General features: G+C 40.1%; 1 protein-coding gene and 1 long non-coding RNA gene across 4 annotated transcripts in view, besides 2 other annotated features; one reads left to right on the forward strand and one right to left on the reverse strand.

Moving 5' to 3' along the window:
* Positions 1-104: 104 nt before the first annotated feature.
* On the reverse strand, positions 105-15,308 carry LOC124901061 (uncharacterized). Of its 2 annotated transcripts, none has more exons than XR_007058932.1 (2): positions 15,198-15,308; positions 105-990 (listed from the first exon to the last, which is right to left on the reverse strand). It is a non-coding gene; the product is annotated as an uncharacterized LOC124901061 (long non-coding RNA). The 2 variants fall into 2 exon arrangements; XR_007058931.1 differs by having other exon boundaries at positions 14,786-15,308.
* The window catches only part of CDC42SE2 (CDC42 small effector 2), a 184,621-nt gene continuing 170,184 nt past the window's right edge, over positions 889-15,325 (forward strand). For both annotated transcript variants that reach the window (XM_047417396.1, XM_047417393.1), the window contains exon 1: positions 889-1,000. The gene's annotated coding sequence lies outside the window, so the exon portion shown is untranslated. The remainder of the gene's footprint in view (positions 1,001-15,325) is intronic.
* Positions 3,588-3,727: an enhancer, noted in NCBI's record as "active region_23042". NCBI's record gives its function as "activates an Ori minimal core promoter by ATAC-STARR-seq in GM12878 lymphoblastoid cells {active_cell/tissue: GM12878}" and the evidence as "EXISTENCE:reporter gene assay evidence [ECO:0000049][PMID:35858748]".
* Positions 15,248-15,307: an enhancer, noted in NCBI's record as "active region_23043". NCBI's record gives its function as "activates an Ori minimal core promoter by ATAC-STARR-seq in GM12878 lymphoblastoid cells {active_cell/tissue: GM12878}" and the evidence as "EXISTENCE:reporter gene assay evidence [ECO:0000049][PMID:35858748]".

The following is a 15,325-nucleotide window of genomic DNA, read 5'->3' on the forward strand; positions in this document are numbered from 1 at the left end:
TTATATGAAATTTTAGAAACTACAAACTAATTCATAGTGTTACTGGCAGGTGCCCTGGATTCTTGCAATCCCCCAGTATAGAAATCAAGAGAGATCACCAAACATAGCAGCAAAGGAAACTTTATTCAGCTTGTGCACAAGAAGCCAGCACCATGAAAGCAAAAGGAATGGGCTGCCTCCTGAGGGTAGCGTGTGGATTAGTTTTAATGAGTCTCTCTCTAGGGAAGGGTTGGGTCAGGGCATGTATGGGAGGGTTTTTTCTAGCACTTGCACAGTGGCTCTACATGCTTCTTCATACATCCTATGTAGCATTAGCATTTTAAATCTTCATGCCCTGGGTGTGATTGTTAGCACTGAAATGAGGAAGGGGTAACTGTAGGTTGGAGATGATGTCTAACTGCACATGCAGAGCCCTGGGGAAGTCCCTAGCTCCCTGAGGGAGGAAGTTGTTTTTAACAGTTTCTTAGGCGTTTTGTTACTAATTGGCTGAGAGGTAAGCTAGCACTTAAGCTTAAGGGGCTTTTGTTCTTTTCCTCCAGACCACATTAAAACGGAACCAACCCGCCTATCTGTCTCAACAGTGACAGAAAGCAGAACAGTGGTTTCCAAGAGATGAGGGCAGGGGGACAGGTGGGTGAGAGGAATTAAAAATGAGCATGAGGAAATTTGGAGAGGATGTTATAGTTTGGATATTTGCTACCCTCAAATCTCATGTTGAAATGTAATCCCATTGTTGGAGGTGGGGACTGGTAGGAGGTGTTTGGATCACAGGCATGGATCCCTCATGCATGGCTTAGCACCATCACCTTGGTGATGAGTGTGTTCTCGCTCTGGTAGTTCATGAGAGACCTAGTTGTTTAAAACAGCTTGGCACGTCTCCCCATCTCTGTTGCTCCTGCTCTTGCCCTGTGATAAGCCGGCTCCCTCTTCATCTTCTTTCATGAGGCCTCATCAGAAGTGGAGCAGATGCTGGTGTCATGCTTGCACAGCCTGCAGAATGGTGAGCCAATTAAACCTCTTTTCTTTATGAATTACCCAGCCTCAGGTATTCCCTTATAGCAACACAAACAGACTGATACAGAGGTGCTGGAGGCAATTTATTTTAACATATTTGTCAATCTCCTTAAATTTAGTTCCACCTTGCTTTTAACCACTTCCTTCTGTTAGTCATTAACTTTTCACTTTACACTAAATGCTTACTAAAATATAATTACACATTCAACATTTTCTTTGTTCACCACTGCTTCTTGAATCCTTCTTCCTTTTTGAATTCAATTTCCTCCTTCTTGAAGTACATTCTTAATAGTTCTTTCAGTGAAACTGTCCCTAAAAATATTTATCTTCACCCTTACTCCTGAATAATAGTTTGGTATAGAATTCCACATAGGCTTTATTTTCCTTTAACACTTCACAGATAATATTGCATTATCTTTTACCCTCTCATTTTGCTGCTGAAAAGTCTATTATCTCTTTGCAAATCCTTTTGGCTAATCCACCTTTTCTTTATGATTGCTTGTAAGATTTTTGTCTTTTCTTTGGTATTCTAGGTAGAGGTTTTATTTTTATTTATCCCACTCAACACTTGGTCTACTTCATCTTACTGAGGATTTATGTTGTGCATCAATTCTAGAAATTTCTCATCCATTTTCAAATACTACCTCACAAAAACTCTCTAGTCTTTTTTTGTGTGTGTGAGATGGATTCTCACTCTGTTGCCCAGGCTGGAGTGCAGAGGCGGGATCTCAGCTCACTGCAACCTCTGCCTCCCAGTTCAAGTGATTCCCCTGCCTCAGCCTCCTGAGTAGCTGGGACTACAGGTGTGCACCATCACGCCCAGCTAATTTGTGTATTTTTAGTAGAGATGAGGTTTTGCCATGTAGGCTAGGCCATCTTGAATTCCTGATCTCAAGTGATCCGCCCTCCTCGGCCTCCCAAAGTGCTGGGATTACAGATGTGAGCCACCGCGCCCTGCCATCTCTATTCTTTCATACAAGAATTCTTGTTAGACACCTCTCATTGTGCTTCATTCTGGTTAATTTACTTAATTTCACAAATTTGGTACCTGCTGTAATTCACTACTCTCCTCAGTTGTGTCTAATCAGCTGTTTATCCACCCCATGTATTTCTCATTTAATTTCATAAATCTCATTTAATTTTATTTTTTAATTGCTACATTATTAGAAATAAGTTGTTAGGAAAATTCATTGTTCCTTTTTCGCAGTGATTTGTTTAATTTTGGTTCCTCATTTATTTCACCATTTAAAGATTCTAATTTTATACTTTCTTTCAGAATGTCCTAACCTATCAAGTACTACATGGTCAATACTCCTCTTTGTTCACCTCACATTCTTTCCTCATGTGTCTTGTCATTTTTTATTGTGGGTACATCTTGAATGGCAATTGTTAATTCTATGAAGATACATTGAGTTGTGGATTGTGGGAACGTCCCTCCAAATAGATTTTGTGCATGCCTTTGCTAGGCACCCTGAGGGTATCTTGGAGATTTCCATACCACACAAATCATTTAAAATTAAATTGCCTGGTGCAGTGGCTCATGCCTGTAATCCCAGAACTTTTGGAGGACGAGGCAGGAGGATTGCTTGAGCCCAGGATTTCAAGACCAGCCTGGGCAACATGGCAAAACCCCATGTCTACAAAAAAAATTTAAAAATGAGCCGGGCTCGGTGGCACGTGACTGTAATCTCCGCTACTGGGGGGCTGAGGTGGGAGGATCATTTGAGCCCAGGGAGGTGGAGGCTGCAGTGAGCCATGATGGCACCACTGGACTTCACAGTGAGCCATGATGGCACCACTGGACTTCAGCCTGGGTGACAGAGTGAGACCCTAGCTCAAAAAAATAAATAAAAAGTAAAGTAAAATAAATTTATTTAATTAAATTTAAATAATTTAAATCACCACATGTGTGGCAGGGTTTTTTTCTGTTTTTTTGTTTTTTTGTTTTGAGACGGAGTGTCACTCTGTCACCCAGGCTGGAGTGCAGTGGCGCGATCTTGGCTCACTGCAACCTCTGCCTCTTGGGTTCAAGCGATTCTCCTGTCTCAGCCTCCTGAGTAGCTGGGACTACAGGAGCCTGCCACCACGCCCAGCTAATTTTTGTATTTTTAGCAGAGACGGGGTTTTACTGTATTGGTCAGGCTGGTCTCGAACTCCTGACCTCAGGTGATCCATCCGCCTTGGCCTCCCAAAGTGCTGGGATTACAGGCGTGAGCTACTGTGCCCTCCATGGTGTGGCAATTTTTATCTCTCACCAGTGATTTTTTTCCCCTACCCAAAGTCCCTGGAACCTTGCTGTCCTTAGGCTTATGGGTAGAGTTTCTCATTCCCCTTTCATGGCACTTACAGGTCCTAGCTTTACACCAAGCCAAAAACTTAGTTCTACTCTCTGCTACACTCACCACTTACGGATATGTGTAGCTGTTAGGGTTTATTTCTAAGTTCCCTAATTACCTCCAGGACTACATCAGTGTCAGTGTACAGTTACACACCACTTTGGCTTTCAGATCTCTTTTCTTTCTGGCATATGGGGATTTCCTTTCTTGTGAGTTCAGCCATGTAGTACGTGCCAGAATACAAAGAAATAACAAAAGATTAGTGGGGTCATGTTAAAAGGACACGGAGGTCAGATTGAAGGAAGACTTGCTGATCAAACAAGGGACAATTTATGCATCAAAAATAATAATGACCATGATAGACCAGCACATTGTATAAAAAAAAATAATAATCCGGCTGGGCATGGTGGCTCACACCTATAATCCCAGCACTTTGGAAGGCCAAGGTGGGTGGATCACCTGAGGTCAGGAGTTCAAGACCAGCCTGACCAATATGGTGAAACCCCGTCTCTACTAAAAATGCAAAATTAGCCAGGCATGGTGGTACATGCCTGTAATCCCAGCTACTACACGGGAGGCTGAGGCAGGAGAATCACTTGAACCCAGGAGGCAGAGGTTGCAGTGGGCCGAGCTCGTGCCATTGCACTCCAGCCTGGGCAACAAGAGCGAAACTCCCATCTCAAAAAAATATAATAATAATAATCCATTAGTTCATAAAGATAGAGAGAGAGGGAAAAGGGGGGAAAGCTCTTTTTTGTTCTCCAACTTTTAACTTTACTCTAGCTTTGAAGTTTTTCAAAATAAAATATTGGAGGAAATTAAAATTAAATCTCATACATAATTTTGTTGTGGGTAGGGTTCTATTAACTTAGTCTACATGTTGCCAAACTCAGAATTCCAGATACCAATTATTTTTTTCTTTTTATTTTCTTTATTATTGTTATTATTATTTTGAGACAGGGCATTGCTCTATCACTCAGGGTGGAGTGCAGTGGCACAGTCGTGGCTCACTGCGGCCTTAACCTCCTGGGCTCAAGTGATCCTCCTGCCTCAGCCTCCCAAGTAGCTGGGACTACAGGTGCACACCACCACACCTGGGTAATTTTTCTTTTAGTTTTGTAGAGACAGGGTCTCACTATGTTGCCTAGTCTGGTCTTGAACTCCTGACCTCAAGTGATTCTCCCACTTCAGCCTCCTAAAGTTCTGGGATTACAGGCATGAACCACTGCACCCAGCCTGGATACTGATTCTTTTTGAAGAAAGCAAGTTTCTAATATGTCTTTCTGGCAATTCATTGTTAATATCTCTAGTCTTCTGAGGATAAGAAATCTTACTCAATGAAACCTGATTTGGGCCTTTAGGGCTTTTTTTTCTGCTATAATCTTTTCCCCAATTTCGACTGAATGCAATCTCTCCATTTATTCAACCAAGATTAACTGAATACTTGACCAGGGTCAGTCTCAAAGATAGGTGCTAGTGATTCAAAGACAAGACAGTTTAGGGTGGAAGACCAGCAAGGAAGTAGGCAATTGCAATGAAACTAGTGCTAATTAGCAACTAAATACAGTGTTTTAAAAATATAAAAATAATGTATTAGAACAAGCTTTGTAAAATATAATAAAAACACAGTATGATGTATTTTTAGTGTCTTAAAGAAATAACCAGGTATGAAATAAATCACACCTAACACCATTTTAAAAAATGTCAGTTGGAGATCAGTGTGGTGACATGTGCCTGTAGTCCTAGCTACTCAGGAGGCTGATTCCTTGAGCCCAGGGAGTTCAAGTCCACAGTGAGCTGTGATCACATCTGAGAATAGTCACTGCATTCCAGCCTGGGCAACACAGTGAGACCATATCTCCAGAAGAAAAAAAATTAAAAATATATAAATTGGAAAGAGAAACACAGGATTTTGTTTGTGAGGGAGGAGTACTTTGAGGGATGTTAGGCTTCCTGCCACAAACTGCTCTATGTAGCCTTTTTTTTCCCCTCTTATCTTTTACTCTGGCAATGGAACAGTAAAAAATCTACTATTTTAGATAGGATTCCCAGAGAAACAGACTGATGTAGAGATTTATACACAGGAGCTTTAAATTAGGGAGTCCTCTCAGGAAGGGAGGGAAGCAAGATTGGAGGAAGTAGTTGAATTTCAGTGCAGCTGCAGTGGGGGCCTGGAGCTGAAATAGCCTTCAGAATTGTTCTGAATTGAGGCAAGGGGACCAGGCTTTTGTTCCCTGGCATTGAGGGCAGGCCTGCCCCAGGGAAGAGACGTAACCTTGGTGAGACCATTCCCATCAGTGGGGCAACTCTTAGAAAGAGCCATAGCTGTCAGCTTCTGCAGCCAACACTCTCAGGAGCTAGGGAAATAAATGCCTGTTTCTGAAGGGGACATCTGGATAGTGCACAGAATTCACTATACCAAATAAGGCTTTTCCATAATTAGCTCAAATTGCTGAAGCAGGAGAAGCAAAACTGTAAAGCTGAGTGTTTCTCTTCTGGTCAGTAAGGACCTCAGGGACAGTCTGTTACCTACTCAAACCAAAAGAAAAATGACAAATCCATTCAAAAAGAACTAATTCCAAGCTGAGATTCAAGGTGAGTTCATTAAATAAATGTCAGTTTAGCATCACCCGGAGAAAAGTCCACCAAAGAGGGAGAAGGAGACTGAATTCTAGTCACAGCTGTGTCGCTGAAAATAGGTCTCTGAACAAAGCATTGATCATTCCTGGGCTTCTGTTTCTTTTCCTGTAAAATGAGAAGTCTGGACTAGATGATGCATTAGTTAGAATTATTTTAATTGCAAGTAACAGATACTCGTTTTAGCTAGCGTTAAAAAGAAAAGAGAGAGAGAAAAGAATGGAGGAATTGGTTTAAAGAATAAACCTGTGTCTTGTAGACCTACGTGTTGGAGCTGGGCTGACAGAACCATCTGGAATGCTATGAGCAGTCTAGGGATGCCCTTCACCCCTTACCTCTGCTCTTTTGTCATTCTTCACTATTGCTGCAGTCCACCTTAGTCTGTTTTTTAGTTTACATGATGAAAACAGCTACTGACAGTCGCTCCTGAGTTTTCAACTCCTCTGCTCAGTAGAGCAGCCACACTCAAGCTAAAATCTCTTTATCTGAATTCTGTGTTGTCTGAGAACAGAGTTCATTGGCCTTGTTTAAATCAAGAGAACGACCTCTCATTCAAAAACCTGTGTCTAGAAAAGGAACTCAGTGGAGAAGTTTCCAGAAAAGATTTAGAGGAATGTTTGGCAACCAAGATGTTCACTGTGTTATCTATACAATCCTCTATTTTATTAAAGAATTAACTACTTAAGTAATAAGATTTAATTACTTTCTCACTGCTCTTGAAGTGATGCTTTAAACTGTCTTTTAAAAATTATGATGGTTAATTAAGATATATAAATTGCTATTGGAAATGTGACAATAAATGAGGGAAGCTGAAGTAGAAAACTCTCAGCAAAATTCATTTATAAATTCGCTTTTCTGTTTAGACCCGTAACAAAACTGATAGTGTTCACCTGGTAATAACACATCAAGAAGTACACAAAGAACATTTTCAGAGGAGGAAAATGCTCAGTGTTTAAACCACTTGGTAGTTTTTCCTGACTCCTGATTGGTTTATGGCTTAGGCCAATTTCTGACATTCCCTTAAAATAAAAGTCATAGTCTAGGCCCAGCACAGTAGCTCACGCCTGTAATCCCAGCACCTCACGCCTGTAATCCCAGCACTTTGGGAGGCAGAGGTGAGTGGACCACTTGAGCTCAGGAGTTTGAGACCAGCCTGGGCAGTATAGAGAGACCTGTCTCTGCAAAACAAAATACAAAAAATATTAGCCGGGCATGGTGGTGTGTGCCTGTAGTCCCAGATACTTGGGAGGCGGAGATGGAAGGATTGCCTGAGCCCAGGAGGTCCAGGCTGCAATGAGCTGTGGTCACACCACTGCACTCTAGCCTGGACAACAGAATGAGAACCTGTCTCAAAAAAAAAAAAAAAAAAAAACATTATAGACTATAACTAAAAGTGTAACTGTCATAAGGGTTTGTGAAAAGATTGACAGAAAGAGGCCATTGACACAGGGTGAGGATACAGGGATACAGTTTCCTTTAATTTAGCTAGAGGACACAGCTCATCTACACACAGAGCAATGGATGTCACAGTGTTTCCAATCCTGGGTGCAAACATCCCTAACCTTCAGGTCCCCACAAAGATGTCAAGCTGCCAATAAAATGACCTGGGTGTGGGGGATTGTCCAGTCAACTCCTTCAAGAAATCTATTCCCTTCCATCCATAAAGGGAAGTTTATACTACATTAATCCTTCCAAACCATCCTGAAGACTCTCACCACACGACTACCTGAGGAAGGCTTCACTGGAGAAGTTGATATTGATTCACTCAGTCTTACCATAGATACTTAAAAAAGAGCCAAGGTAGCTTAGACTGGGTGAATCAATATCAATTCCATTGAATAATCATCAAGCAGGATCAGGCCAGGGGGCTGCCTGAGATCTATTCTTGTACCAGATTTTCACTGATGCAAGGAAATAGACAAATGCATAATTATTTGATAATTTTGGTGGCAGACTACAGCAGGACTTTGACCAAATCTAGTCTTCCACCTGTTTTTGTAAATAAAGTTTGATTGGAATATAAGTATGCCCATTATTTTCATATTGTCTATGGCTACTTTCTTTGGCTACTTTCTTGCTACAGCAACACGGTTGAGTAGTTGTGACAGAGACTATATGGCCCACAAAGCCTAAATTATTTACTATCTATCTCTTTACATAAAAAGTCTGCTGATCCCTGGTCTAGAAACAAAGAAATTAATTTTCCTATGCTATCTGTATTGGCAATTTAGAGCATTCCAAATTTGGCACATAATTATACATAATTCTGCTTTTAAAGGCTTATGTTTTCTGAAAGTGCCTCTCATATAGGCTTGTCTCAAAAGCATGATTTAGAAAAGTTATCTTTTCAACAAACAGTACTGAGTGAATAGGACATCAACATGGGAAAAAATATTGGACCATGTCTCACAAAAATCCATTTTGAATGGTATGTAGATCTAAACATAAAAGAGAAAACAATAAAACTTTTAAAGGAAAACATGGGAAAATATCTTCATGACTTTGGGGTAGGCAAAGAGTTCCCATCTATGACACAAAAAAGCATTAACTATAAGGGAAAAAATTGATCAGTTGAACTACATTAAACTTAATAACCTCTGTTTGCCAAAGACACCAATAAGAAAATGAATAGGCAAGCTCTAGAATGGAAAAAGATATTTGTGATACATATATCTGATTTGTGTCCAGAATATGTAAATACTTCCAACAAATAACATACAAAGACATACATTAGAAAAATGAGGCTGGGCACAGTGGCTTACACCTGTAATCTCAGCACTTTGAGAGGCCGAGGCGGGTGGATTGCTTAAGCTGAGGAGTTGGAGACCAGCCTGGGCAACATGGCGAAACCCTGTCCCTACAAAAATTGCAAAAATTAGCCAAGGCAGGGTGGTGCATGCCTGTAGTCCCAGCTACTTGGGAGGCTGAGGTAGGAGGATCACTTGAGTCGGGGAGGTCAAGGCTGCAATGAGACATGAATCATACCACTGCACTCCAGGCTGGGCAAAAGGAAGACCCTGTCTCAAAAAAAAAAAAAAAAAAAAGAGGAAGAAGAAGGAAAGAAAAAGAAAAATGAGCATAAGACTTGAGTAGACACCTCACAGAAGGGGATATCTAATTGGCCAATAAACCCATGAGAAGGTGTTCAATGATATTAATCATCATGAGAATGGAAAATAAAACTACAATGCAATATCACTACATGCCCCCCAAAATGACTAAAATAACAAATAATACCAAGGGTTAGCAAGGATATGGAGCACTTGGAATTTTCACATGCTGCTGATAGGAATACAAATTGGTACAACTTTGGAACTATGTTTGCTAGTATATACTAAAGCTGGACATATACATATCCTATGACTCAGCACTTGCACTCTGAGGTATGGAATGATGTCCACTGAAAGACATGCACAAAAATGTTCACAACGTTACTATTTGTATTAGCCCAAACGAAACAACTCACATGACTAATACGTAGAAAGAGTAAATGATATATTCATACCATGAGATACTATACAGCAATGAGAATGAAAGTTTGAAAACAGGTAAAATTGATATATAATGTTATAAATCAAGATAGCGGTTATCCTTGTTGTTGGGGAGGAAATCACCTGATGGGGACAGGAGGGGGATCCCCTTCTGGGATGCTGATAATGTTCTGGTTTTTCATCTGGGTGCTGGTTAGATATAGATGTTCAGTTTATGAAAATTTGTTGGTTGTGTGCTTATGATTTGTGTGCTTTTTGTATATTTGTTACACTTTAATTAAAATGTTTATATTTTTAAAAGGCTAAAGCCAATCTATGTCTTAGAAGCCAAGATAGTGGATAAATTTGAAAAAAGACAGATAATGATTACGAAAAAGAACAAGGAATTACTAGGGTGCTAGCAATAGTCTATATTTTGATCTAAGTGGAGGTTATGCAATTGTGAGCATTCACTGAGCTCATACACTTGTGATTTGTCTGCTTTTATTTGTTATAAGAAAATGTTGTACTAAAAATGTTATGCTATGAGAAAATTTTTATTTTAAAATAAAATGTAATTTATGTTAGGTTGTTATACCTTGTGATCTTGACATAGTGACTTCAACATATTACATAGTTGGGGAAAAGCATTTTTGTTATTGATAATGGTATAGATTGCACAAGTAAGTGATAAGCCTACAATCCTCTAATATTTAAAGATTTAAAAATCATCAATAACCATTTAAGTCATGGCAGCTTATATATAAGCCCACATTTGTTGCTTATTCTCAATGTACCTCAATATCCTTTTCAGAATAATAAAATTCTGACCCTTTAAACTCAAAATAAAGTCTGGCCATTTTTTCTAGGAACTGTAAGGCTTTAATACTTCCCTCTATGATAGTGAACAAGTAAGATTGAAAAACACAATTCAATGAGATGAGTCATTAACTATTGTACTCAGAACTTGGGCTGCTATAACATCACTTACAAAAACATCATGTTGTGGCTTTGATACACAATGCAGAAAAAGAGGCGAGGCATGGTGGCCCATTCCTATAATCCCAACGCTTTGGGAGGAAGAGACAGCCAAATCGCTTGAGCTCAGGAGTTCAAGACCAGCCTGAGAAACATGGCAAAACCCCATCTTTACTACAAATTTAAAAATTAGCTGGGTGTGGTGGAATGTGCCTGTAGTCCTGGCTAGTTAGGAGGCTAAGATGGGAGAATCACTTGAGCCCAGGGGGCAGAGGTTGCAGTGAGCCATGATTGCACCACTGCACTCCAGCCTGGGCAACAGAGCAAGAACCTGTCTCAAACAAACAAACAAAAAAAGTTGTGGGTTGCCACAGCAACTGTAATATAGATATCTTTTGGAATAAGATTTTGATTACTTCTGCTTGTAATCACTCTAATTCCTCTATATTTCATGCCAATATGTTTGATCAGGGATTACTGAGAAACACTGAATTTTTATACATGTAGGTTGTCAGCGCATAATGCTGTGGTCATATGCTTACATTTAATTATGCCATTGTTTTAAGAATAACCCTGTTTTAAAAATACTTTTGACCTTTATCTCAGATTTTTGTTTGTTTGTTTGTTTTTGAGATGGAGGCTCTGTCCCCCAGGCTGGAGTGCCGTGGCACCATCTCGGCTCACTGCAACCTCCGTCTCCCGGTTCAAGCGATTCTCCTGCCTCAGCCTCCCGAGTAGCTGGGACTACAGGCGTCTGCCACCAGGCCCGGCTAATTTTTTGTGTTTTTAGTAGAGAAGGGGTTTCACCGTGTTAGCCAGGATGGTCTCGATCTCCTGACCTCGTGATCCGCCCACCTCAGCTTCCCAAAGTGCTAGGATTACAGGCATGAGCCAGCGCTCCTGGCCAGAAAATATTTCTAAGCAAGCAGCATATAACACTTATTTTCATCTGCAGCATCATAGTTAGCTAAGTGACTTTAGGGTACCTTGATAGAATATTCCATTATAGATGTAGAAAACAAGCTAGAATGACAGAAGATAGTACATTGTTTGCGATCACAAAATAAATCAAGGCAGAACTGTTACTGGAATTGTACTCAGGATGAGCCATTCACCAGGTATTGTTTTCCTGACAAGTATGCTATGATGCTATGGCCTGATTACTAGAGCACAGTTCAGTAGAATGTGCGTGTGTCTATGCACATTTGACCACATTTCCAAGTCCTACATACTCTTCTGTGTGTCTGCCAAACCAAAACGTCTATAGGAGTACCTCACCAGAAACCTTTTTTTTTTTTTTTTTTGAGATGGAGTTTCACCCTGCCGCCTAGGCTAAAGTGCGGTGGCGCGATCTTGGCTCACTGCAGCCTCCACCTCCTGGGTTCAAGCAATTATCCTGCCTCAGCCTCTCAAGTAGCTGGGACTACAGGCACCCACCACCACACTCGGCTAATATTTTGTATTATTAATAGAGATGGGGTTTCACCATGTTGACCAGGCTGGTCTCAAACTCCTGACCTCATGCGAGCCACCCGCCTTGGCCTCCCAGAGTGCTAAGATTACAGACGCCCAGCCTCACCAGAGACTTTAAATCAAACTTGTCCAACCCGCAGCCCACGGCCACATGCAGCACAGGATGACTTTGAATACCGCCCAACACAAATTCATAAACTTTCATAAAACATTATGAGATTTTTTTGCGATTTTTTTTTTTTAGCTCATCAGCTATCATTAGTGTTAGCGTATTTTACGTGTGGCTCAAGACAATTCTTATTCTTCCAATGTGGCCCAGGGAAGCCAAAAGATTGGACACCCCTGCTTTAAATGTTCTGCTCATCTATTCTGCCTTCCAGTCAAATCAAAATTCATCAACACCCTTCTGTATGCAAAGCAGCACAGCATTAGCTACTATACAAAATACCAAAAAAAAAGTGAGAAATGTGACCCCACCCTCAGAATTCACAATGTAATATTCTCTTGTGTGAGCACATTACCAGTGAAAAAAAAAACAAAACAAAATAAGTGGCTCTAGAATACCCATTCTTTTTTTTCCAAAAAGTTAAGCTTTCTTGCACTACTTCTATTTCAGGATGGAGAAGCTTCATGCCTAACAGAGTATCTGACTTATTTGTTTCATTTTTTTTCTCCTCAACAAACGATTTCTAACACTTACTTACAAAATTGAATTCTTCTTTCTCATTTTTTCACCTTCATTTACAGCAGTTTTTCCTCTCCCTTTTCCCACTTCCCATTAGCTCTTTTCCATAGGTGAATTGCACAAATTTAATATTTTGTTAATTGTTAAATGTTGGTATTGAGAAGAATATAGCAAGTTACCATTGATTCATATGTATACCTGAAGTCAGAAATCATTTAAATATGAAGAATATTTAGTCAATATAATTTTAGCATAATTAAACAATTAGCAATGTGAATAAGAAATCACTCCCAAACCTTTCAGACAGCTCTGACTCATCATTACATAATGCTCACATGGGTGAGTGTTTCAGAAATTGTTTGAATTCATAAGAAAGAGCAGCTAAGTGTTTCTACTTTAATATATCTGTGATGACAAGAAATTTTCACTCAAATTTTACTAATTTGGGATGGAATCTCATAATGCAAAGATGAAATGGATTTTTCACAAGCACACAGGAAGTCAGTAAGGAGTTCTTGGCCATCCAAAAGTCTCTAAGTCCTGAGATAGATTTTTATATACTGGTTAAAAGCATAGGCTTTTGCTACAAGACTGCCTGGGCTGACCCCCAGCTTCCTCTGTCCCTCAGTTTCCTCATCTATAAAGGGAGAATGAATAATAGTCCCTACCTGAAATTAATTAATATATTTGAACTACTTAGAACAGCACCTGGCACATTATAAGCACTGAACATGTTAGCTATTCTTTGCATTATTTGATAATGACATTGAACCAAAGAAACTAAGACTTTACTAAATGAAATTTTAAACAAACATAAAATGAATGGAGGTGGAGACTCTCCCATGCTGCTGCACTTGCTTTTGTATTTCTACTGCATGTATGTTGTCAGCTGAGTTCCCTACAATCTTGTTTTGGCCTCAGATGGCACACTATCTGCTCCTTATGCAGTTGTTTTATCTCAGCGTCTTCTTTAACAGTGAGATATGCATTGGTGTGGACACAGAAGAGGATGTGAGTGGAGGGCATGGCACCCTTCACTTCTCAATACCATTCCCAGTGATTCCCATAGAAAGACAGACACAATGACAATATCATTTGCTACCTTAATCCTGCCACTTACTCCAGCCTTTGCTTCTGACTCTGCTCCTGCTGCCAAGCTTTCAGCTTTGTCCTAGATTCAAGTCTCCAGCCCTCTCACCCTGAAAGGTATAATAAATGCTGACTGGCTTCTTAGCTAATGTAATTAAATCATTGGCACCCCATCCATTTTCTTAAAATAGCAGATTACTTTCTCCCCTACTTCCAAGCACTGTTTCTTAGCTAATTTGACTCATCATCATCCTATCCATTTACTTAAAAATAGAAAATTGTTTTCTCCCCTTTTTTCACTTCCTTTCCAATCCTATATGGAACTCAAGTGACTATAAAACATAATTGTTTCTTTCTTTCCTCTAGTCCCACCAGACATTTTAATCTAATATGGAGCATCTTCAGACCATCAGGAATGCCCCTTATCTGGCTTTCCCCTAAAAATACCTGGAGCGTGTTTTCAGTCGTCTGGCCCTTGACCTTCGCTTTTGGGATAAGGCATGTTTCTGCAGGATGAGTACTGGGAAGATGTCTGGGGGGGCACAGCTGCCAAGTTTGAAGCTGTCTTATCATTGATTCAACAAACACTGTTGCTTTCTTGTGATCAATATCACAACTCAGATCAAAAAATGCGATTTTCTACATAAAATAAAAACTCCACCCAAATTACTTGTTACCATATATGAACTATTTCTGTTCTGTTTTAAAGCCTATTTCAGTTCTGTTTATTTACTAGATCCTAATTCCTCTCACCCAGTAAAGGACATTGCTCCAATAGTTCCTGCTCCCTAGCCCAGTTTTTAACCCTTCACTAAATCATTTCCATCAGCCTACTACAATGCCATTATTTGTAGCATCTTTAATAAAATGAACAAAAAACCCTTTTTGACTACTTTCCCCTCTATCTACTGCCCAATTTTTTAATAGCTAAACTTCTTAATAGCCATCTGTAAATTCTGTCCTCAACTTTTCCTTTACCACTCTGTCTTGAACTGGCCCCAATAAGGCTTTTGCCCACATGACTCCACCAAAACTATTATCAAAGCCAGCAAGTGTCCTCCATGTTGATCATTCCAAGGGTCAATCCTGAGTCCTCATCTTACCTGACCAGCAGCATTTTATGACACGGATCATTCCCTCCTCCTGGTTGCACCCTCTACACTTGGTTGCCAGGACAGCATACCCTCTTGGTTTTCTTCTGTTTCTTCTCAGTATCTGGCTGATTTGGCCTTTACTGTCTAACCTCTCAGTGTTGGAATGCCCAGGCTCTGTCCTGAGCCTGTTTTTCTTCTCTCTCCACACTCACTTTCTTAAAAATCTCATCTGTTTCCTGGGCCATAAATGCCACCTCTAATCTGAAAACTCATAAATGTATTTCTCCAACTCAAGCCTCTCTCTTGAACTCCTGACTCACATATCTAACTATCTAGTCAACATCTCCACTCGAATATCTACTGGGTATCTCAAACTGAATAGATCTCATAGAGAATTCCAGATCTTACTTTTCTAACCTACCTCATCTGCAGCCTTCATGGTAACTGCATCCTTTCATCTGCTCAGGTCAAAAGTCTTAGAGTTAGCTATGAATCTTCTCTCTCTGCCACATCTCACATCCAGTCTGTCAAGAGTTCCTGTTGGGTTCT

The sequence above is a fragment of the Homo sapiens genome, chromosome 5, assembly GCF_000001405.40.
Source record: "Homo sapiens chromosome 5, GRCh38.p14 Primary Assembly".
NCBI lineage: Eukaryota > Metazoa > Chordata > Mammalia > Primates > Hominidae > Homo > Homo sapiens.